Source organism: Homo sapiens, chromosome 8 (assembly GCF_000001405.40).
Source record: "Homo sapiens chromosome 8, GRCh38.p14 Primary Assembly".
In the NCBI taxonomy this organism is placed as follows: domain Eukaryota; kingdom Metazoa; phylum Chordata; class Mammalia; order Primates; family Hominidae; genus Homo; species Homo sapiens.
This window is the reverse complement of record NC_000008.11, coordinates 70383440-70405525: the sequence shown is the minus strand read 5'-3', so window position 1 is coordinate 70405525 and position 22086 is coordinate 70383440. Positions and strand designations below refer to the sequence as shown.

Here is a 22086-nt window from a genome sequence, read left to right as displayed (position 1 = left end):
CAAACTCTCCATTTCCTCTCAACGCTTTGGGAACATAATTCTATTATTCCAGCTAGCTAAAAAAAAAAAAAAAAAAAAAAAAAAAAAACCTTTAAAAATATACATTAATACATAGTCAATGCAAACATTTCAAACATTAGATAGGTGTGCAAAATAAAAAGTGGAAGTGCCTCATCACCCACTTCTTACACTCCCCAGCGCTAACATTTGTTGTTATAGGCTTCCAAGCATTTTCTATCCACAAACAAACACAGACACACACACCCCACACATTTTTTTTATTCTTTTCCCAAATAAAATTGGCGGTACACCCACAAATTTTAGGATGAAGACATGTTTAAAAGCATGGGCTTTGGAGCTCACCAGAACTGGGCTCACATCCTCTCCAACTACTGGCTGTGACCCTGGGCAAATTACTTTAAGCTTCAATTTTTTGTGTGAAGTGAAAAGCGGCAATGACTTCGGAAGGTTTGAGGATTAAGGCCTATAGCATATATACATCACCTAGCACAGTCAGATTCACAGTAAGTGTTCAATAAACACTCTTATTGTCTACCGCAAGTGACCTTTCTCATTATAAGATTAAAATCAGGGAATATGTTCCTCTCATAGTTTGATAACTGCCATTAAACAAAAGTTTTTTTTTTCAACTAATTACCGTATAAGTTGGAAAAAAAACTTGCTTTTCCAAAGCGTAAAACAGATTGGTCTAAGTAACACTTAAATGGGGGTTCTCGCATTTTCAGTGCCAATCTCCTACGTCCCCTCAGTACTTTGTTCACGGATGTCTAGAGAATGGACTTTCCAATACAAACTTATGATTTCATGATGTGCCGAAAATTCTCAACCAGGTTAAGTTTCACACTCTGTGTGCAGCATTTGCTTTATCCCGCAATTGCCGGGTGGTGCCCCTTCCAGCTCCCACAGTCGCGCCTCTCCATCCCCTCTGGAGCTAGGACTGCAATGGGAGAAGCCTCTCCCTGTTGGAGCCGTAGGGGACTTGACGGATGCGGGGCGCCTCCGGGGAGCAGCGGCAGGACCGGGAGTTGGGTAGGGTGAGGTGCGCCCGAGGGGGTGCAGGGTGCTGGCCGAAGGGTCCGGCCGGACGGGCGCGAGGGTCCTCTGCTGGCGACCCTGGAACTCGGCTCTCCCCGATCTTCGTCCTGGGGCACCGTCCCTGCCGTCTGCAGCCCCCAGGCCCCACTGCCTCTAACTCAGCGGCCCAGGCCCGTCCCAGTCGCTAGTTTTCTTTTTGGCATTGCCCTTTGCCCTCCCATGCAGTCCTCTGTTGACTCTCTCTTCAGTTCCAGTCACCTCTAGGTCACCCTCCCTCTACCACAGTCACCCATTTTGTCCCCTGTCCCCTTACTCTTCTTCACCTCTCCCCGGGCCGCCTTCTCAGAGGACTCTGCCGACGGAGATGCTGCGGACCCCGCGGCCAGGGGCTGCTCCCCGGACAACCCTGCGTCCACCTTTGCCCCTTCCTCGGGGGCGCGAGAGGCAAGTTTCCGCCCCGTCCTTTTCCCGGTGACAGGACTTGGCGGCGGCCACTGCCGGGGAGGCAGAGGGAGGGACGGCCTGGCTCCCGAGCCCCCTCCCCTGCTCGCGAGCTCGCGCTGTCTGTCTCTCCGCAAGTGCGGAGACGCGGAGGAGGAGGAGGAGGAGGAGGAGGAGGAGGGAGTTGGGGGAGGATCTCCATTGAAATAAACAACCAGGCAGCAGTTATTAACACGGGAACATGGCGGCCGCAGCCTCGGCTACAGCTTCGGCGGCGAAGGTCAGCGCCGACGGCAGCCGGCACCTGACGGCGTGACCGACCCGAGCCGGTAACCGCGCCTTCCCCCGGGGCCGCGAGGGCGGGCGGGGGGCGGGCGGCAGGCGGGGGGCGCCGCGTCCCCACCCCCGGCCGCGACTGCCCTTCCTGCGCCGAGCTCCGACAGAGCCGTGCGCCTCCGAGAGGCTGTTTTTGTGTGCGGGGACCGCCGCCGGAGTGCGCGGAAAACGGGAGTTGCATCCCGGAGGCGCAGCGACGCTGGGGAGTTGGGGCTTGGGGGTGGGGAGGGCGGGAAGCGACGGGGAGACGCGGAGTCCCCGGGAGAGAAAGGAGGCGCTCCAGCGCCTTGCGAGAGCTCAGGAGACGAGTCCCGGAGCGCGAGGCGGGCGGAGGCTGCAGCCCGCGGCGCGGGCGAGAGGTGAGCGCCGAGGCGCGGCCGGGGGTGCGGGCGCGGCCCCCGCCCCGAGGAGCGAGTGCCCATTGCCCAGCCCGGTGCGGGGTCGGCGGAGACCGAGGCTCTAACCCCTCGGGGGCAGCGCGGCAGAGCCGAGAAGGTGAATCCTGGGAAGGTGCATTCTTTAATGGAAGCGCGGAGCGGCTGCAGCGGAGAGTGGGAGCCGGGCGAGGGGAGGCAGGACTCGGGAAGTGCTGGGGGTGTGTGAAGGTGAAGCGGGGTGTCGGGGCGGCCGGCGAGCTGCAGCGCGGGGCGGGGAAGGGGAGCCGCGGCCCGGCGGGTGGCCCGGGCCCGTGTCAGCCCCGGGGGTGGGGGGCGAGGGGCGCCGAGCACCGCGGGCGGACGGGAAGGAGCTGCGGCGGGCGGGGCGGGCGGCGCGCTGGGGCCGAGCAGGCCGGGCCGTGGTGGGGGCGGGGAGCCGGGGGCCGGGCCCCGGCGGCGCCGAGCCGGGCTCGCCCCTGACTGAACTTTCTGGGTGCGGGCGTGTATGCAGGAGGCGCGCTGGGGCCGGGGCCGGGGGCGGGAGGCGGACCGGGAGGTTCCGGGTTGGCTCGCCAGCGCCCCCTTTTCTCGCCCCCTTCTCTCCGCCCCTGAAGGGACAGGCCCTCGGGGCCCCAGGCGGGAAGCGGGAGGGGCCCTGTGGCCGCCTCGCGACGGTCACGCCCCGGGCACGGGGACCCGGCCCTCTCGGGCCCCTGGGGGGTGCTGGGGGAGGGGGCCGGGGTCGTCGCTGCCGGCTGCGCTCCCCGCCTCCTCCCCTCGGGGGAGTCCCAGAGGCGCCTCTTCCGAGACCGGGGGTGGGTCGGTCCCTGGTTAGATGGCCCCTCCCTCTTCCCCTCCCTCTAGTGGTTTCCGGGGCCTGCGGGACCGAGGGGCGGGAATCGGGGACTGGAGCCCCCTTCCGCTGGCCCGGAGCTGGACTGGGCCTCCCGCGTTCTGGGTCCGTCACTGGTAGGGGAAACTTTCCCAAACCAGAGACCGAGCCTGAACACCTTCCTCCGCCACCTCGTCCTCTAATCCCACTCCCTCTCCACCTCCTCCGACGCCTTCCCCTCCCACCGACCCGAATCTCGGTGCGTCTGACTGATGGGGCAGTGAGCCAATCGAAGGCAGGGAGCTGACCTGCCGGGTGTCGGTGAGCCAATCGTGCGGACCGGAGGAAGGAAGGGGGCGGGGTTTCTCCTGACCAGTTAGAGCAGAGTTGCATGCGGGGCGGGGGAGTCATGGAGACGCTGAGAGCCAGCTACTCTTGTCCATCCCCGAGTCACCCGCTCCTTGATTTCTGGGGTTGTGTCACTTATAGGGGCTCCGACCCGCAGAGGCTGCCGAGGCACTCGAGGTCCTGTATGTCTTTCGTACCGAAATAGACGTTGTCTTAGACACGACGAAGTCTAAAGCCACTTTAGGATGTGGCAGTAACTCACCGAGGCCGGTTTCTAAAATGGCATATGCTGTAGTGATCATGTCCTGGACCTCAGCGTCCGGTTTACATGCTAAGGGTCACAGAAGACAGAAGTTACCCGTTTACCTCTTATCTCGGTTTCACTCAGCTATGCCAGAATGGGGACAATGAAATTTGAAAGGGAACCCTGAGAATGAAGGCATGGGAGCAGTATCACGTCAACTGATTATTGGTAGTAGAAAGCATCATTGTTCATAATGGCTTCACTGGTTTCTTGTTTAATTAGAGCTCCAGTTCCCAAAGTGTACTTGAAACTTCGGCATTGGGGATGTCATTAAAAAAAAAAGTTGTGGTTTATGGTATGCATTTTTTTTTCTTTTTGCAAACAAAATGAAGTTGGGAACTAAAGCATCACTGATTGAAACATTAAGTGTGGGTATTTAAGGAGCAAAGCTAATCAAAGAATATTTGTCTACAGGAAAAAGTCTGAGTAAAATGTAGTTTGCCAGATTACTCCCACACAAAAGATTCTTAAAAATAATTTTAATTTTCTTAAACACTGCTGAATTGTACAGTGTGTGGGTACTTTTCTGGTTTATACAAGGTTTGGAGACATCTTTGGTTTTAACTGTTTATTGCGCGTTCAGTCAAGTGACTTTCTCAACTCTTGACTTTTAGGAACAGAGGTCTTTGATTCTCTGTAAAGATCACAGGTTGCTCTGCAGGAATAGCAGTCTTTTAAAAAGAAAGCAGCTGCTACAAAGCATGTGTGTGTGCGCGTGTGTGTGTGTGTATGTGTGTGTGTGTTCCTGTTCTTTGTTGGTGAGGTTAGGCACACTGACAGAAGTAATGCTCCCTTTCTCACCTGGAATTTGTAGAATCTTTGGGAGCTCAAAGAATGAAAAGTGTTAGATTAAGAATGAATTCATTGATTTTTGTCATAAGTATCCCATGAATTTAATTTTGGGAGTGTTTTCTTTTAGGTATCTTATGTGGAAAATGTGTATCTTTTCTATAAGTCAAGCTTTTATTAATCTTGGGTTGCTAAGAAAGAATCGAAGGGGACTGCAGTTCTAGGGAACAGTATTTGCCAAATCTTACAAATGTGTTCTGTTGTAATATAGTGTTTTCAAATTTACCATGAGAATTCCCAATTCAGGATCATTTTGGGTGCATGTAGACAAGAATTAATTGCATTTTGCTGTGGCTCTTGAGATGTTTTTTGTAATAAAATAGTAAAAACAGAGAAGGTAAACCAAACACTTAGACTGACAGAGAGGTAAGGAGTATTAAAAACAACATTCAAAATTTGACAACATTCAAAACCCCCCACCATTTGTTAATTTAGTTACTTATGGGCACTCTGACATATGCCCTTCTCTCTTTTGTATGCTGAAGAGCAACACATTATTTTACTTAATTCTTTGCAACAATCCTTGAAAATGTGGTAAGATTCTTGGTGGCAGAGAGAACCAAGTCTCCTAATGGCTGGCTTGGGGGGAAAAAAACCTCTCAAGCATATGGAGACATCTAGAAAAAGATGTGCATCGTCAGCTGTGATTCCATTGTGTGCTCTCAGACTGGATCTGAGCTTCCTTCCTCCTGGGAATTTCAGTCTTAAACAGAGGAGTTCTTTGACTTTTAGATGTCAGTATACTGAAGCAGGAGGGTAGAAAAGGAGCTCACCAATTACGGATTTATTATGTTTTGAGTAGTTAATATGTTTTGGATTTTAACCCTTCATTGGTTAAATATAATTTAGATGAGTGGCTTAGTGTTAGAAGAGCATTTTATTGGAAATATAAAATGTAAGGCTTGGAGGGGGATTTGGGCTGTGGATAAAGGGGTAATGCTCCTTAGTTGTCTTTATTTATAGTTGTATCTTATTAAAGCTTTCCAAGCTTCAGTAACATCAAGGATCTGTGAGCAGTCCTTCCATTATATGCCCTGTATTTAAGGATTCAGTACCGTAGCTGTTTCAAATTACATAAGGTTGAAATGTGACCCATAAGTTGACAGCTTGGATTTCTTAGGAAAAATTGTTTGTGTTGTATTGAGTTGAAAAGCAATTCTTTAAGCACTCTTTAGGATATTGGATAGTAAAGGAAAATACAAAAGGGGATGGTCTCTTTAAACAATTTTTCTGAAATGCACAGCATGTGCCCTCATTTGATATTTTGGCCATTATTGTGTCATGATCGAAGTTATATTTAAAAGCCAAGTTAATGCTTATTTATTGTTATGAAAAAACTGCTATTTAAGAAATTACTAACTTTAGTATTTTGCGTATGTAGTTTTGTTTAGTAATGTATGTTATTACATGCTTTATTGATTTTAGATTAAGAGAATAGGAGGGAGAAAATAAGTCACTGCTTTAAGGTATTGGTCTTTTATTGCAGCAAATCATAAAATCAGCAACAAATCAGGATCTTTTTCCATAGTATAAGAATAAGACTATAGTTCATACCAAAAATGAAAGCCATTTAAGGGAAAATGGAACAAAACCTTCAGTTTTTTTGTACCCTTTCATATTTAAGGCTAATTTTACCTCTCTATGCCTTACTTTTCTAAACAAACAAAAAAGGTTCTAAGTGTTTGTGTTCTAGGTGTTTGTGTTTTTCCTTTTTTGTTTTTAAAGGCTTCTAGTAGGGCTTTATGAATTGCAAGCTGTAAAAAGAATATGTCATATTACTCTCTAAAGTCTATTACAAGTAATGGCTGGAAAAGCTATGAAATACAATTTTAATGTTGCAGACCTTCAATTCAGACATCATAAAGAAAACACATCTTTATGGATTCTAGATGCTAATTTCTAGATAGAGGTGATCACGAATGTGACTTTTGTGGGTATTTTAGAAGCTGGTGTAGTTCTCTTAGCTGTGGTAAAACATTATGAAAAGGAGTGGAAATCTTAAGGATAAACTATGAAGGCAACTGAAATTAAAAGACTAGGTGGTCTGTAGGTAGATCCTAATACTGTTAGCTTTTAGGGCAAAGATTTTATGTGTTTACTCTATGAAATGTTGATCAATGACCACATTTCTGGGTCCCCATGGCTGTGATGACATAATGCAATTGTGGAAATGTTGATTCCAGGATAATTTTCAGTTGGTTCTCTGGTTGGAAATTTCTAGAGAAGAATTAAATGACAAGGGAACCTATGGTGGTGTTTTACATAGCTGTTTTTGAGGCTTTGGACACAGAATCATATAGGTAGAAGTTACTCGCAACTGGTTAAATGTTCTAAAGGAAAAAGAAAACATCTTTACTTTGACTAGGCGTCAGCTGACAGATAACGTGGAGAATTGAAATTAGCCTGTTAATTCTGGCAGAATTTATGCTTTGTAGGCAGCCAGTTCCGAATTGTTTGAGTTCCCCTGGCCAACTTAAATCTTACTTTGGTCTTGCTGTTGTTGTTATTATTATTATTATTTTGAGATATGGTCTCGCTCTGTCATCCAGGCTGGAGTGCAGTGACATGATCACAGCTCACTGTATAGCCTTGACCTCCTAGGCTCAAGTGATCCTCCTGACCCAGCCTCCCAAGTAGTTGGGACTACAGGTGTGTGTCTCCACGCCTAGCTAATTTTTGATATTTTTTGTAGAGATGAGGCTTGCGATGTTGCCCCAGGCTGGACTTAAACTCCTGGGCTCAGGCGATCCTCTCCCCTTGGCTTCCCAAAGTGCTGGGATTAAAAGCATTAGCCACCGTACCTGGCCATCATTTTGGGCTTTTTGGACCTTGTGTTTGCCTTCTTGTCTGACTTTACTATTGCTTCATTCATTTTATCGTTTAGTCGTTTGATGAGTACTGTGTCCTGGCCTTTTCAGTGTACTTTGATAGTATAAACCATCCATTACAGAGCCAGTAATTAAAGGGGGAACATAGAGTGGGTGATCACTTTTTTTGGTTGGGGAGGTGGGAGGGGACATATATGCCTTAATTTCAATTTGCTTTAGTACTAAAGATCTGTTCTTTTTGTGTGTATGTAATTTTAATTATATAATGTCAGCACATTGTGCTTTGATTTGGGTTTGGGTTGTCTTTTCCCTGAAAATGGGGTTGAAATGTTTATAATAAAAAATATTGTAAAATGTCCCCTTAACTGATTAGCTTACAACCGAATAGATTTCATGTAATGAAGGTATGAATATTTATAATTCTTTTTGTTTTATTTCCTCTGGAATCATGTTTTGTGCTCTCTGTCCTTGAGTCCTGTGTGGTGTATGGTAAGGATGGCACTCTTTAGTTGGGCGAAGGTGATAGGCGTTGCCTGTGTATTGTTGCTGCTTTAGGACTACTCATTTTGGGCCTTAACTACCTAGGTTTCTAAAGGATGGAATGCTCCTGAGTGCAGCCTTGTGCAAGTATTCTGCTATGGTTGTCAGTTTTTCTAGATGTAGCTTGTTCTTGCTCTTTTTTTTTTTTTTTTTCCTTTTTTTGAGACAGGGTCTCACTCTGTTACCCAGGTTGGAGTGCAGTGGTGTGATCTCAGCTCACTGCAACCTCTGCCTCCCGGGTTCAAGCGATTCTCTCACCTAAGCCTCCTGAGTAGTTGGGACTGCCGTCACATGTCACCACTCCCAGATAATTTTTGTATTTTTTGGTAGAGATGAGGTTTCACCATGTTGGCCAGGCTGGTCCTGAACTCCTGACCTCCTGCCTGCCTCAGCCTCACAGAGTGCTAAGATTACAGGCATGAGCTATTGCACCTGGCCCATTCTTGCTCTTGACTAAAAGGTCTGTATTAGAAGAGTAACAATGATAACATAAATGATAATAGCAGCTATCATTGAGTGCCAGGAACCTGATACAGGCTTTTTTGATGTGTGCTTCATTCTTTAATTCTTGCCACAACCCTATAAAATAGAGGTTACCTCCATTTTCCAGAAGGAGGCTGAAGCTTAAAGTGAGTTTAAGTCCTGTGCCTGTGAGCAAAACTTTGGCGAGGAAAAATTAACTTTGCCACTAAGTGGGGGAAATAAATAATAAACATCAGAGGGAATGGTTGAATCTGAAAAAGTCTTTCTTTTAGGAATCTGATAAAGCAAATGTTTGTGGGACATTATAAGGCTCAGTCTACTTGTTAAGTCCGTAAGAAGGATGAATAGATTTGAATAGTTCCAGTCCTGCAAATTGTATCAGGAGGCATCTTCCAGACTGTTGCCTTAAGGAGGGCTTATACCTGCACAGAGGTTATTTATTTTAAGACCCATGAATAGTCTCTAGCTTTTTTAGTCATCAGCTCAGTTTTTAACTATTCTTGAAATTATAGATTTTTTCTTTTAATTTTCAGGAAATAAGAATTATATGGGTGAAGTAAAATAGTTAACATTTATTGAGTGCTTACTGAAAACCAAGTGCAGGGCAAAGATGACCGTACAGTACTCTTGTATGTTTCTTACTGTAGCATTGAGAGGTAGAACCCTGTTCTTGTTAGCTCTCTTACCCAGTGCTTTATTGAAGTAACATAGATCAGTAATTCTCTGCTAGTGAAAAGGAAAAGAGTAGGGAGTGTATTTTGCAAGAGCATATTCAGGTTGCCTGTTGTTCTCACAATAAAAAGCTCAGAAAATAAAGCTCAAGAAAACTTGATTGTGGGGGATAGGTAGAACATAGATTGACAGAGCACTATAGAGGATATAGGCTTAGAAAGGATAGAATGCTGATACAGGTATTTGGCTTCTTATGCCCTTAAAACATTTAATTCTAGTATTGTTTAACTGTTGTGCGCAGATTGTGTGATGCATGTTTTGCAGATGTTTTGTAATCATGTAGCATGGATGACTAGGTGTTGAGGTATTGTAGTCCCAAAAAGAAGGCTGATAATATATTCAGTCATCTGACTTCTGCTCTGCTATTTGTGGAATTCTTCTGTCTGCTCAATTGTTTGCACGGAGCGCGGAGAGCTTTCAGGGAACTCTTTCACCTGCACATATAGGATCAGCATGCATTGCTTACAGTGTTCCAGCTGCTGAGACTGAAGACCTGTTGTCATCGACGAGAATATAATGCACGGTATTTTCTATTATTCATTTAGTGTGTCCATATGAAATATGACCCAAAACCTTTCAAGGCTTAACTTGGAGAGTGTTAGTTCTGGTAGTTCCTGTTGGTGCTGACTGATCTCTGCCCATTGAAGTCCCCGTCTAAATGAGGATTGTCTTTACTAGCAGATCATTCCTGCTTATAAAATCAGTACATGATTTAAATATGAAACAATTTCCCTTGTCTTTGGTATTGTAGTAGCATTTGTCAGAATATTTAATATTAACTTATCTTAAAATTTCTAATTGTACTGTTAATATGCTTAAAAAGGAAAAGCTTTCAGTTATTGTCGAAATGTTTTTAGATTCCTAAATAAGGAATACGGAAATTCCGTAGTAGAATTGAATGTCGGGAGTATATGAATTTCTACAAATTTAACCTAATATTACAGCATTTCTGGAAATTACAGAAGCAGGTTGTAGTTATGGAGACAGGCATTGGGGGCTTGCCGGTGCTTGAGGCGGTTCTGCTGTCCTGCATCTGCCATCTTGTGCCAGCAGCCTGTTCTGGATGTAGCATAGGGTGTGCCTGGCATTAAGACCAGACTCCAGTAGCTGACCACTTACTACGCAGTGCTTTGACATCAGGGTGGAATGATAAATAATGATTCAAACTTCTGACCACTTCACTTTGGGTATGAACCTTTGCACATCTTTCTCCTCTACCTCCTTTTATCTTTCTTCTTCCCTGACTTTAATTTTTTCTTCAAGTTGAAGATTAAATATAAGTGGTAGTGAAAAGAATACAATCAAGATTACGGGGGAAGTCTGTTACTATCATTAAGGATTTCATGTATGTAGATCATGTCTGATCATGATCTACAGTTTCCCCTTTACCAAACAGATTTACTCTGCCAAAAACACTTAGTGAAGAAGTCAGCTGTTTGTTAAGAAAGCAGTTATGTTGTGCCTGTGTTAAGATCGCTTAACCCAAGAGTGGTGAGGTATTGGCTGATTTGTTGTTGGAGTTAGTTGCTGGACAACATTGTGGTTCAGAAGACTGGGGCTGAGCTTCTATTGTAGTAGGATCGAGTATTACATTCCTTAGCTTTTATATCTGTATTTTATTTTTTCCCTGTTTAAGGATATTGTTATAAACCCTACAGTGTTAGATGTCATGAAAATGGTGATTAAAGCCATCAAAATGGTGTTAGCTGAAAATATTAAGACAATTTAAGATTGGTGAAAACTGTAGTCAAATTGCTAAAACTTGAAGAATGCCTGCCTCTTTGGAGTTTCTCAATATATTTTCAACTTCCGTAATTCTATTTTGAGACTTATTTTGTGTGGTGTTCTTGTTACTGTTTTAAGTAATATTAATGTTTTGATTCCTTAAAGCTTTTTCATACAAGTGTGATGTAAAAATATTTATTTCATTTCAACATGTTATTTTGGCCAGGCGCGGTGACTCACGCGTGTAATCCCAGCACTTTGGGAGGCCGAGGTGGGCGGATCACCTGAGGTCAGGAGTTGGAGACCAGCCTGACCAACATGGAGAAACCCCATCTCAGTTAAAAATACAAAATTAGCCGGGCATGGTGGCGGGCACCTGTAATCCCAGCTGCTTGGGAGGCTGAGGCAGGAGAATTGCTTGAACCCAGGAGGCGGAGGTTGTGGTGAGCCAAGATTGCGCCATCGCACTCCAGCCTGGGCAACAAGAGTGAAACTCTGTCTCAGAAACAAAAACATGTTATTTTATTATATTTGAGCACCACTGTACTCTTTTCTAAATAGGCAGTACGTCATGAAACCTAGTGAAGGAAATGGGAAACCACATGACTATCTTTTCCTTATACTGTGCTACTTTTTATTTTAAGCAAAGGGTTGTACAATCAATTAACGATCCTAATAGAATGGAATATTCTAAGCTATTACATGTAATACCAAAAAATGACATATTCGCTGACTGAACTTACTGACAGTGAACAACAACAATAGAAGTCAACAAAATGCCTGGACGTTGAAGGGCATTGGAAAACAAAACTGGAGCATTATTTCCTGGTTAAAGGACACTCATGCAATCAATAGCAGCATTCTCACGATCGTTTATTATCTCATTTCTAGTATTAAGTATTTTCACTTTAAGAAAACACATTTAGCGGAGAAGAGAACCAGGAGACAAGGGGAGCCCAGATTTTAGGCTCCAGGGAAGCAAAGGCTTGGGCAGGAAGGAACTGGGCCTGGGCACACCTGGCCTGGCCCTACATGTGGGTTTCAGGGTGATCTGAGACTCTTGCAGGCGTCATGAACTGGGAGTCACTAGGAGAGGCCTCAGCTGTTCCCTGCCTCCTCTCACTGTGTGTATGGGTGGGGGTGGAGGATGTTGGGGGCCAGCTGCTGACCTTTGGTGGGGAGGGAAGAAGAGAGGAAAAGAGGGAGCCTTTGGTAGGTAGATAGAGGATGGGACAAGTCTCAGCAGGTGGAGGCCCTAGATGCTCACTTGCACTACAATTGTACAATTCAGGATATCCCACCAGGAGCTCATGTATAGAGAGAGCCGTTTAATCCGAATCCTTAATTGTGGAACAGAATGGCAATGCTGATGGCCTGTGCCCTTCAAGCACCACTAAGCCCCAAAGCTCTTCTGCCCTCATCCTCTGTGTTACCAGACTGAGCATTTGGGGGATTGTTTTCCCCTTCTTAGGACAGAAGTGATCTTGGATCTGCACCCAAGATCAGATAAAGAGTAGGTAGTCCTAAGGCAAGGGAAGGCTTTCTGGGGCTTGTGGTTTTCAGAGGCTGAGTTCCCTGTCTTCACTGGGCTTGTGTACCTCTAGGGCCCTTGGAAGGAGTGAGGGGAGGCAATGTCTTCCCACCGAGGGGTAAAGAGAGTTTTCCCTTTCCCATCTCCTTCCTATTTCCTTTTGAGGTTCAGGTATCCCTGGGAGCTTAATCCCACATTTTCTGGGACTACCACAGGTTTTCATAGATGTTTACTCCTTTAAGGCAGTCCTCTAACCTTCAAATCAGAAACAATAAAGAATTAAATTTTTGGCTTTGTCACTTCAGTAAAATTGGACATTTTTCACACCTGGACTTATTAAATTTTCCCCTGCAGAATATTTTGCCACTGGAGTGAGAAGAGGGATTAATAGTATCAGTTTTTAGTGGATAGAGGAGGAAAAGGTAAAGAAAACCTTGGGGAAATTCAGTAGTTCTGAAAAGGTAATAAAACAAAACCAAATACAAAGAAAGTATACCAGGGTTGGCACTTAACTATTTCCATTGAAGAAGTGATAAAAAAAGAGAATGAAGGCATCACTTAAGGGCTGATGTCTTAATAGATAAATAATGAAATTCTACAACTATCCAAGGAGCAAAGACCTTCCAGTTCACACATTAATATATACTTGTGGCAACACTTGTAAAAATGTTCTCAACGTTCTTCCCAAATTTCTCCTTTTAATAATAATTTCTTATTTTGTGGGATGTTTTTATTTGCAGAATAAGTCAGAAGGCTATCCATCTGTCTGTCATTTATTCATTTTCTGCCACCAACCAATGAACGTTAAATCGTAGAAACACTGTGCGACTCAGATGGAAAAGTGGGCGGCGCTTTGTGCAGTGTCCTGTTGCCCTCCTAGCTCCCCTGATCCTTTAATAATGTGGTAGAATGAGAGGCTAAATACTGTTATTTCAGTGTGTTCTTGTTTTCAGTTCCTGACAAAAAAACCTGCTAGAAAAGTATTGGGGTTTAGGGAGGACTAAGGATTTCTTTGGTCCCAACTTTCTTTATGAAAAATTTCCTACACACAGGTTGAAAAATAGTACAGTGAATCCCTGTATAAATTTTGCTATAAATGTTTTTAATTTCTCCTCCTACCCTCTCCACGGTGTGGTTGTGAGTATGTATATTGGATAAACCATTTCAAAGTAAATTACAGATATGATTCTTCATCCATAAAGTGCATTGTCTTAAAATCAAGGCATTATCTTAGGTAACCACACACACAGTACCATTATTAAACCTAAGAGAACTAATATCATCTAATATCAGCTCTATTTCAGTTTTTCAAGCTGTCCCCAAAATGGCTGTTACAGCTTTGTTTTTCAAACGAGGATCTAATCAAGTTTACTCATTGCATTTTGTTCTCTCCCTTTCATCTCTTTTAAGGTGGACCAGTTCCCGTGGTTTGTTTTGTTTGTTTAGACTTTTTAGAGTCTAAGCCAGTTGTCCTGAAGAGGATGCAATTGTTCTATCAATTTTGGGGTGTCAGACTTCAGTTTCTCCAGAACTGTTAGGAAATTAAGTTGTTAATGTGTTACTGAGTTTGATCAGGGCTGAAGAAGCACAGCCAACCTTTGAGAGCTTATTGCTTGAAATGATGGCATCCTTGGACCTTTTCATGGCATGTTCCTTCTGAAGTCTCTAGGTCTGGGCCTAGACAAACTTTCTACTGGCAGATCATAAGGAGATGCAAATGAAGAGGTAGTATCTGACCATGAGACATTTACCGTCTAACAACTTGAGATATTTTTTCCCTCCTGGGAAGTAGATTTCTGTTTTAGGCTCAGATTAAGGAGGGGGATAGAAATTGAGACACTTAATTTTACAGCCCCCTTGGCTAAATAGAAAGCTTTTATTCAAACACTTATTTGGAGTAACATTATGGAGACGAAAATTTCCTGGAGCTTTTCGGAGCAATAGTAACTTCAGTTTCTTGAATACTTGACTACTTCATAACTTTGAATTTGGAAGTTTCTGTTTCTCTCTTCTGTTTTTCTTTGCAATGTCTTCATCTGTTCTCCCTGTTGACTTTTCCTGTCCTATAATTATTTCCATCTTCTTTACTTTATACCTAACCTTACCTTTTCTCTTTCCTACTTTAGGATCTTATTAGAAGTGTGGTAGAGCCCTCTCTTCCCTCTTGGATCACAGTGTGCATAGGGGTTCATTCTCACTTTGAGAAATAGACCATAAATGTAAAAATCATTCATAGGTATGTAGTAGACACCAGAGAGAGGTACCTGGTCAGTCTCACTCACCTAATCCAGTGGAGAAGTAGTAGTAGTAATATTCTTCATATGTATGTGTGTGTGTATGTATGTATGTATGTATTTATTTATTATTGTTGTTTTAGAGACAGGGTCTTGCTCTGTAGCCCAGGCTGGGGTACAGTGGCACGGATCATAGCTCACTGCAGCCTCAAACTCCTGGGCTCAAGTGATCCTCTCACCTCTGCCTCCTGAGTAGCTGGGACCACAGGTGTGCGCCACTATGTCCGACTAATTTTTTTTTTTTTTCTCTATAGAGATAGGGCTTGCTATGTTGCCCAGGCTGGTCTTGGACTGGGCTCAAGTGATCCTTGTGCCTTGGCCTCCCAAAATGCTGGGATTATAGGTGTGAGGCACTGTGCCTGGCCTCATAATTATATTCTTAATTGTAGATAGAAAAACCTTGGTGTAAGAGTAGTGGGCAGGAAAGATTTTGTCACCCAAGAAAACAATAAGAATTATCACAAGCATTTGAATAACTCCAGAAAAACACTTGGCTTGAAACTTTTAAGCTTTGGAAAAAGCAAAACACAATGAAGTTATCTCCTCTGACTCAAAGTAAGTCCTCTTAGAGTCATTGTTAGGCTAATGGCCTTGAATCAGGCCCTGCACTTTTCTGAATGGGACATAGAGACCTAGACAACATCTCCCAACCCCAGGATAGAAAATGCTGCTTAAAAATAATGCAGATATTATTTTGTGGAATTAATATTTAAAACTGGGAAGTCATATACTTAGAAGATAGAAAAAAGAATGGAAAGAAAAGTGACACTGGTCATAGACCTTTTTTGTTTAACAAATCTGGGCAATTTTAAGGTGACTATGAACTTGAAATAATATGTGACTCGGATTTTTATTTTTATTTTTTGTAAACATTTTCCTGAAATGGCCGGATATGGTGGCTCATGGCTGTAATCCCAGCACTTTGGGAGGCCGAGGTGGGCAGATCACCTGAGGTCAGGAGTTCGAGACCAGCCCACCCAACATGGTGAAACCCCATCTCTACTGAAAATACAAAAATGAGCTGGGTGCGGTGGGCACCTGTAATCCCAGCTACTCGGGAGGCTGAGGCAGGAGAATCGCATGAACCTGGGAGGCAGAGGTTGCAGTGAGCTGAGATTGCACCATTGCACTCCAGCCTGGGCAACAAGAGCAAAACTCCGCCGTCTAAAAAAAAGTTTTCCTGAAATGTCTTACAGACATACTTGATGACATTCTCCTTGTTCTTGTCATTCTGTATGTATTGTGCTGCTTTTAAAAAAATGTTGGCGTTGGCCAGGCATGGTGGCTCATGCCTGTAATCCCAGCACTTTGGGAGGCTGGGGCGGGCAGATCACCTGAGGTCGGGAGTTCGAGACCAGCCTGACCAACATGGAGAACCCTCATCTCTACTAAAGATTCAAAATTAGCCAGGTGTGGTGGCGCATGCCTGTAATCCCAGCTACTCCGGAGGCTGAGGCAGGAGAATCGCTTGAACCCCAGAGGCGGAGGTTGCGGTGAGCTGAGATGGTGCCATTGCACTCCAGTCTGGGCAATAAGAGCGAAACTGCGTCTCAAAAAAAAAAAAAATTTGGCCTGTTGGAGGGAGTTTGCCAAAATATTGGAGTTGCACACTGAGTGGCTCTGCTACAACCCAAACAGATGTGATAGTAGCTTGGGTCAGTTGGGAGGAAAATACTTAAATAGTCTGAAGTGTAACGAAAACAGGGACATTAAAAACAAGGGGGAACAACAAAAATAGTATAAAGACAGTGATATTATTGTAAAACAGTAACTATATAAAACCCCCAGAAAATGAGATCTCTTGCTTGGTTCTGTTTTTTATTCCTTTAAAAGGCACCTCCAATTTTAAAAGTAGTCACTTAGGAGAAATACTTATAAAATGAGTAGTATTTCCCTCTTTACTAAACTTACTTGAAATGTGCAAAAATTCACTGAGATCTATGAGATCTTTTAAGATACTGACCTGTCTCTCTCCACTAAGTAATTGTAAACTGTAGACCCTACACTAAAGAATTCTAGGCTTTTACTTAGTTTCATCTTTGTTCCCTGAGACCTCTTTCTGTCTGCGTGTGTGTGTGTGCGTGTGTGCTTTTTAAAAAGAACAGTTCATTTCCTCTTTTCTAATATTCTGTGTTTTATCTGCTGTGGATTTGGAAATCAGATAACCAGGTTTGTTTGTTTATTCAGCAAAAATTTAATGAGTGACTCGTATATTGCAGACACTAGTATACAAAGATTAAAAAAGAAATGTTCCTATCCTCGAAGACCTTACGCTTAGGGAAGGCAAAAGCCATGTAGACAAATAATTATTGTATAATATATACATTAGAATAAAAAATTGTATTAGAGTGGAGGGCTATACAGATATGTTACGTGAGCAAACTGCATTTTGCAAGGTGAAGGAAGGCCTCAGAGCTGCTGTAGTGTTTGATTTGAGCCTTAAAGACCGGCCTAGATGAGATTTCATCAGGGAAAAGGAATCCTAAAGAGGCCTATGCATAGGATGAAGACAGAAAATATTATAGTATGTTTCTATTTTTCCTCATTTTACATATACCTTTAATAAGAGCTGCATGATAATTTGAGAGACTTATCAATAAAGCTAGTGATCTTTAGTGCACAGAATGTGGAATATTTATTTTGAATATAGGGAAAGCAGCCTTAAATTCTTTGCTTCCTTTTCAGTTTTTTCCTTGAGTTCTGAATCAGGGAGTTCTATTTACTATTGCTGCATTATATACCATCCCAAACTTGGTGGCGTTATGCTCACAAATGTTGTGGCTCAGAATCATAAAAGGTATGATTGACACAGCTTATCTGCCCCATGATGTCTGGCACCTCAGCTAGGAAGACGCAAAGCCAGGGCTGAGTCTATGACTGGGGAGCTGGAATCAGCTGAAGCCTTGCTCACCTGCATGCCTGGCCTTTCCTACTGGCTGTTGGCTGGGATGTAGGCTAGGTTGCAGGCTAGAATATCTACAAATTGGACTCTCCTTGTACCTGCTTGGACTTCCTCACAGCATGGCGGCAGAAGTTCAGTGGATGAAAATTCCAAGGAAGCTGTGTTCCCTTTATGACTTAACCTCAAAAGTTACATAGGATCACATATGCCCTTAGTCCCAAGCTGCCCCCCCGCCCTCCCCCTCTATCCCCCATCCAGATTCATCAGAGAGGAAGCCTTGATTCCAGCTGTACTTCAGAGGAATTCAGCAGGGAGGAAGCATTGATTCCAGCTGTACTTGGAAGACACATTATAAGAGGAGCATGTGGGATAAGAGATTGCAGTCGTGTTGGGAGCCACCATCTGTCTGTCACAGGCTAATTTGTAGAAAGTTGAAGCGTTACTGTCCTTTCCTTTAAAATAAGAGAGGAAAGAGGATTTATTATTTCTGAGACGTATGAAGTGATTCAATATGAGATATAATGACCAGATGTTCTTTAGTTTACAAAAGAGAGCATTCTTAAACTATATCTAAAGGGATTTTAGACAGACATTTAGAAGAACTTTCTGATATTGCCAACATGGCAGGGTGGTGCATACCCAAAGCCCCAGCTACTCAGGAGGCTGAGTCAGGAGGACTGCTTGAGCCCAGGAGTTTGAGGCTACAGTGTGTTATATGAATAGCCACTGTACTGCAGCCTGACAACATAGCAAGACTCTGTCTACAGTAGGTAAATAATTTTTCAAAAAGTTTATAGGCTTTTTTCTTGACTAGAGGACATTTGTATGATTTAAAAGAAAGTTTACCAGACCGGGCGTTAAAGCGAGACCCCATCTCTACCAAAAATAAAAGAAAAATTAACCCAGCTACTTGGGAGGCTGAGGTGGGAGAATTGCATGAGTCCAGGAGTTTGAGCTTGCAGTAAGCCATGATCATGCCACTGCACTCTAGCCTGGGCGACAGAGTCAGACTCCCATCTCTTAAAAAAAAACTAAAAATATTAAAAAAGGAAGTTTAATAATGGTTAAGTATACTGCCTCTGGATGGACCTGTTGCATTGGACAAGTGCTTTATTTCTGAGTCCCAAATTTCCTTTTTGTTGGATGGGGATAATAACACTTGAGTTGCTGCTGAGCATCAAATAGAAGATTTTTGTTATTCATGAAGCCAGAATGAATTAGATGATTTTAAAGAAGTCTTCTGGGATTGGATTCTCTGGTTATCACTAAGGAAGATTGAACGGCATTAGTTAATTTTTTAAAAATTTTTCTTTACATTCTAGAATTATCTTTTTTAATAAAGAAAAAGTATGGCCCCTCTCTATTGTTTCTTCTCATATACAGTGTGTAGAACTCTTGATTAAATGACGATGACATGTATTTTTTGGACTGTTTATTTTACCACAAGCGTTTCCAGGGAGTTAGCCCTGAAAGCCACTTATAAGTAATAATGAACACAGTTCTCCCTGAAAGCACTAGAATGATGCTGCTTCCCCAGATGATCCATTTTGTAGATTAAGGCAGCCTTTTGTAAAAAGATGCAGGGCTTTTTACATGGTGAGAGCATGGATGATAGAACAAGTCTCTCATCCAAGAGTCTATACATTTATTTTAGAGTATATAAATTATCTACTTTGCTTATCAAAGTGGTAGTTCCAAGATCTCATTCACTGAGATTTATAAAAGTATGGATGCATCTAGAAATCTGTTTGTAATTTTAAAGAGAGTTTTCAAGTGACTTTTGATAGATATAGTGGGGAACAGTACTTGAAGATCCCTTTGTCTGGTCCTAAGCACAGAGGGTCATGGAATCCTCTTTCCCATAAGGAATCCTGGTAACCTGAGAAGTGTGGAGATTACTGGCAAGACTGTCCATCAGTCTGCACGTACTGTTTGGGCTCACTCTTGCGTATTAAGAAATTTCTCAATAGCAGAAAGAGAAGAAAACCGTGCACTAAAGTAACTAATGTGTGTTTTGTGTACCACAAGTTACACACAAATGCCTCAGAAAAGGCATTTCAATTCTAAGGATAAAATGAAAGTAAAATATTTCAAGATACTATGATTAGTTTTTTTTTTCCTCATCACTCTTACAAGGTGATGCCTAAAAGGCAGAAAAATTGTAAAATTTGTGGAACATTCTATTGGAATATGTTAAGTACCTGCAAAATTTGGAGGTCTTGGCTGGGTGCAGTGGCTCATGCCTGTAATCCCAGCATTTTGGAAGGCCAAGGTGGAAGGGTCACATGAGGCCAGGAGTTGAAACCAGCCTGCCCAACATAGTGAGACCCCATTTCTACAAGAAATTAACAAAATTAGCTGGGTGAGGTGGCGGGCACCTGTAGTTCTAGCTACTCAGGAGGCTGAGGTGGGAAGAGTGCTTGAGCCAGGAGTTGTGGCTGCAGTGAGCTATGATGACACCACTGCACTCTAGGCTGGGTGACAGAGGGAGACTCTGTTTCAAAAAATAAAATAAAATTGGAGTTTCTTGAATACAAGAGTATTTGTTTTTCAGTTCTGTGAAGGCAGTTTGGTGTAGCACTGTCTGGATTGCCATCCAACTCCATCACTTAAACAAGTGTGACCTTGCGCCCCAATTTTTGTAAATGTTCGCTGTTGTTATTGTCACTTTGAATCACCTGCAGTGATAGGTATTTGACATACAGTTGGTGTTCAATAAATCTTGGTTAGTTATTTGGTATTATAATTCAGAGTAGATTATTTTAAATTCAAATAGAGGATGTTTAGAAGAACTATGAAAAAAGTTAGTCTTGAAGACAAGACCCACCTGTGCATTCAGGATTATTTATGGTCAGGTTTTTATGGTCCTTCTTTATCAATTGAAGGGTGTAACAGAAATGCAATGGGTGATGCAGCACTCTGTAGTCCATAAGGATACATTATGAATTATTTTCTAATTATTCACTGTTTAGAGTAACTGTGTTTCTACTTTGTTTGTTTACAGAATGATTATTATTACAATCCCTTAACATTTTAGCACTTGGTAGGTCTGATTCAATGGTTCTCAATGGATGGGAGTGGGGAAGGACAAAGATGATCTGATGTATCATTTGGCTTACCAACATTCCTGTCCCTGTTACATTCCTGTGGTTTCATGGTGGTTGAAGGTGAACCTGACAGTGCTGTTTTACAGAGAAGATTGAAGGGAAGGTGTTTTAAGTCAATAGAGTTAAAGCTCTTTATGTTTTGGAAAAAATTTGGGGGTTATTTTAAAAACTACTCAGAGGTGATAGAGTATTGTAATTATCATATGGAAAATAATCCAAGAAATATAGTATATAAAATTCACATTTCATTAACCTGGAAAATTGACTGATTGTTTGATGTATCTAAGTGTTGGACTTAGAAGTGGACAGTATTATATTCTCGACAAAGAGATTATATTTAGATTTCTCAGAGAAGTGTGTAATGATTAAACTCAATGTTGGAACCATTTGGTTAATTTAATTATAATTTAAAATAAAACCCCTTTTGAGAAAATTCCTGCATAAGACTTAAGTGTTATTTTTGACTAGTTCAGACTGTGGCTTAATATACAATAATTTTCTCAGAAAAATGAAGCTCTTGCGAAGAATGGTTGGGCATATTTCACCAAAATCAAGTATTTGTGTGTGTGTTTTTTTTTTTTGGAGTTTGAATATAATCCTGTAAGTAGATGCTTCAAAACCACTTGAATCACCATGGAAAGCAAATCTCTTTAGTTATTCTCCATCTAAGCAGCCTTTGCCGTACAGTTTAATTAAATCTAATCATCAGTAATAGTTCTCTTTTCCATAGGGATAAGTTGGTTCTTTGGGTTTTTCAAGATTTGGCCTGTTTCAAAGATAAATTCACATTTTACAGAGGTTTGCCCATGGTTATACACAAATGGAGTACACTGATGTTCTCAGAGGTGATGGAAAACTTGGTATAGCTAAATTCCCTGATGGAAAATTTCCAGATCCACAGGGAAAGGTGAGATATTTAGATACAGTTACCAGAGAAGACTATTTATAAGCTCTGTTTATGAAGTTCAAAGGAATAAACTTTTTTTTTCTTAGAAGTATGAGTAGAGCATTCAAATAGCAATAAAGAAAATTTCTAGGCCAGGCACGGTGGCTCACGCCTGTAATCTCAACACTTTGGGAGGCCGAGGTGGGCGGATCACCTGAGGTCAGGAGTTTGAGACCAGCTTGACCAACATGGAGAAACCCTGTCTCTACTAAAAATACAAAATTAGCCAGGTGTGGTGGTGTATGCCTGTAATCCCAGCTACTCGGGAGGCTGAGGCAGGAGAATCGCTTGAACCCAGGAGGCAGAGGTTGCAGTGAGCTGAGATCATGCCATTGCACTCCAGCCTGGGCAGCAAGAGCGAAACTCTGTCTCAGAAAAACAAAAACAAAAACAAAAAAAACTAGGATGATTTTAGTGTCCCTCTTCTGTAAGAACATAACCATTTAAAATGTTGG

The 22086-nt window shown here is 42.9% G+C and overlaps 1 protein-coding gene across 37 annotated transcripts in view, besides 6 other annotated features; it reads left to right on the top strand.

Moving 5' to 3' along the window:
• Nucleotides 1-22086, top strand: part of NCOA2 (nuclear receptor coactivator 2) — a 346665-nt gene that overhangs the window by 50921 nt on the left and 273658 nt on the right. For 9 of the 37 annotated variants that reach the window (NM_001321711.2, XM_047421254.1, NM_006540.4 and 6 more), the window contains exon 1: nt 1718-1826. The exons of 1 other annotated variant lie outside the window; for it this stretch is intronic. The gene's annotated coding sequence lies outside the window, so the exon portion shown is untranslated. Of the gene's footprint in view, nt 1-1308; nt 1501-1717; nt 1827-2135; nt 2329-2930; nt 3364-22086 lie in introns of those variants that run through there. 27 more of the 37 variants (XM_047421258.1, XM_047421256.1, NM_001321703.2 and 24 more) reach the window with 5 other exon arrangements.
• Nucleotides 942-1101: a silencer, noted in NCBI's record as "silent region_19271". NCBI's record gives its function as "represses an Ori minimal core promoter by ATAC-STARR-seq in GM12878 lymphoblastoid cells {active_cell/tissue: GM12878}" and the evidence as "EXISTENCE:reporter gene assay evidence [ECO:0000049][PMID:35858748]".
• Nucleotides 1202-1321: an enhancer, noted in NCBI's record as "active region_27507". NCBI's record gives its function as "activates an Ori minimal core promoter by ATAC-STARR-seq in GM12878 lymphoblastoid cells {active_cell/tissue: GM12878}" and the evidence as "EXISTENCE:reporter gene assay evidence [ECO:0000049][PMID:35858748]".
• Nucleotides 1792-2101: a silencer, noted in NCBI's record as "silent region_19270". NCBI's record gives its function as "represses an Ori minimal core promoter by ATAC-STARR-seq in GM12878 lymphoblastoid cells {active_cell/tissue: GM12878}" and the evidence as "EXISTENCE:reporter gene assay evidence [ECO:0000049][PMID:35858748]".
• Nucleotides 2142-2431: a silencer, noted in NCBI's record as "silent region_19269". NCBI's record gives its function as "represses an Ori minimal core promoter by ATAC-STARR-seq in GM12878 lymphoblastoid cells {active_cell/tissue: GM12878}" and the evidence as "EXISTENCE:reporter gene assay evidence [ECO:0000049][PMID:35858748]".
• Nucleotides 2462-3121: a silencer, noted in NCBI's record as "silent region_19268". NCBI's record gives its function as "represses an Ori minimal core promoter by ATAC-STARR-seq in GM12878 lymphoblastoid cells {active_cell/tissue: GM12878}" and the evidence as "EXISTENCE:reporter gene assay evidence [ECO:0000049][PMID:35858748]".
• Nucleotides 14730-15097: a silencer, noted in NCBI's record as "fragment chr8:71302664-71303031 (GRCh37/hg19 assembly coordinates)". NCBI's record gives its function as "represses an EF-1alpha promoter that drives an FKBP-Casp9 reporter gene in an ReSE screen in K562 erythroleukemia cells {active_cell/tissue: K562}" and the evidence as "EXISTENCE:reporter gene assay evidence [ECO:0000049][PMID:32094911]".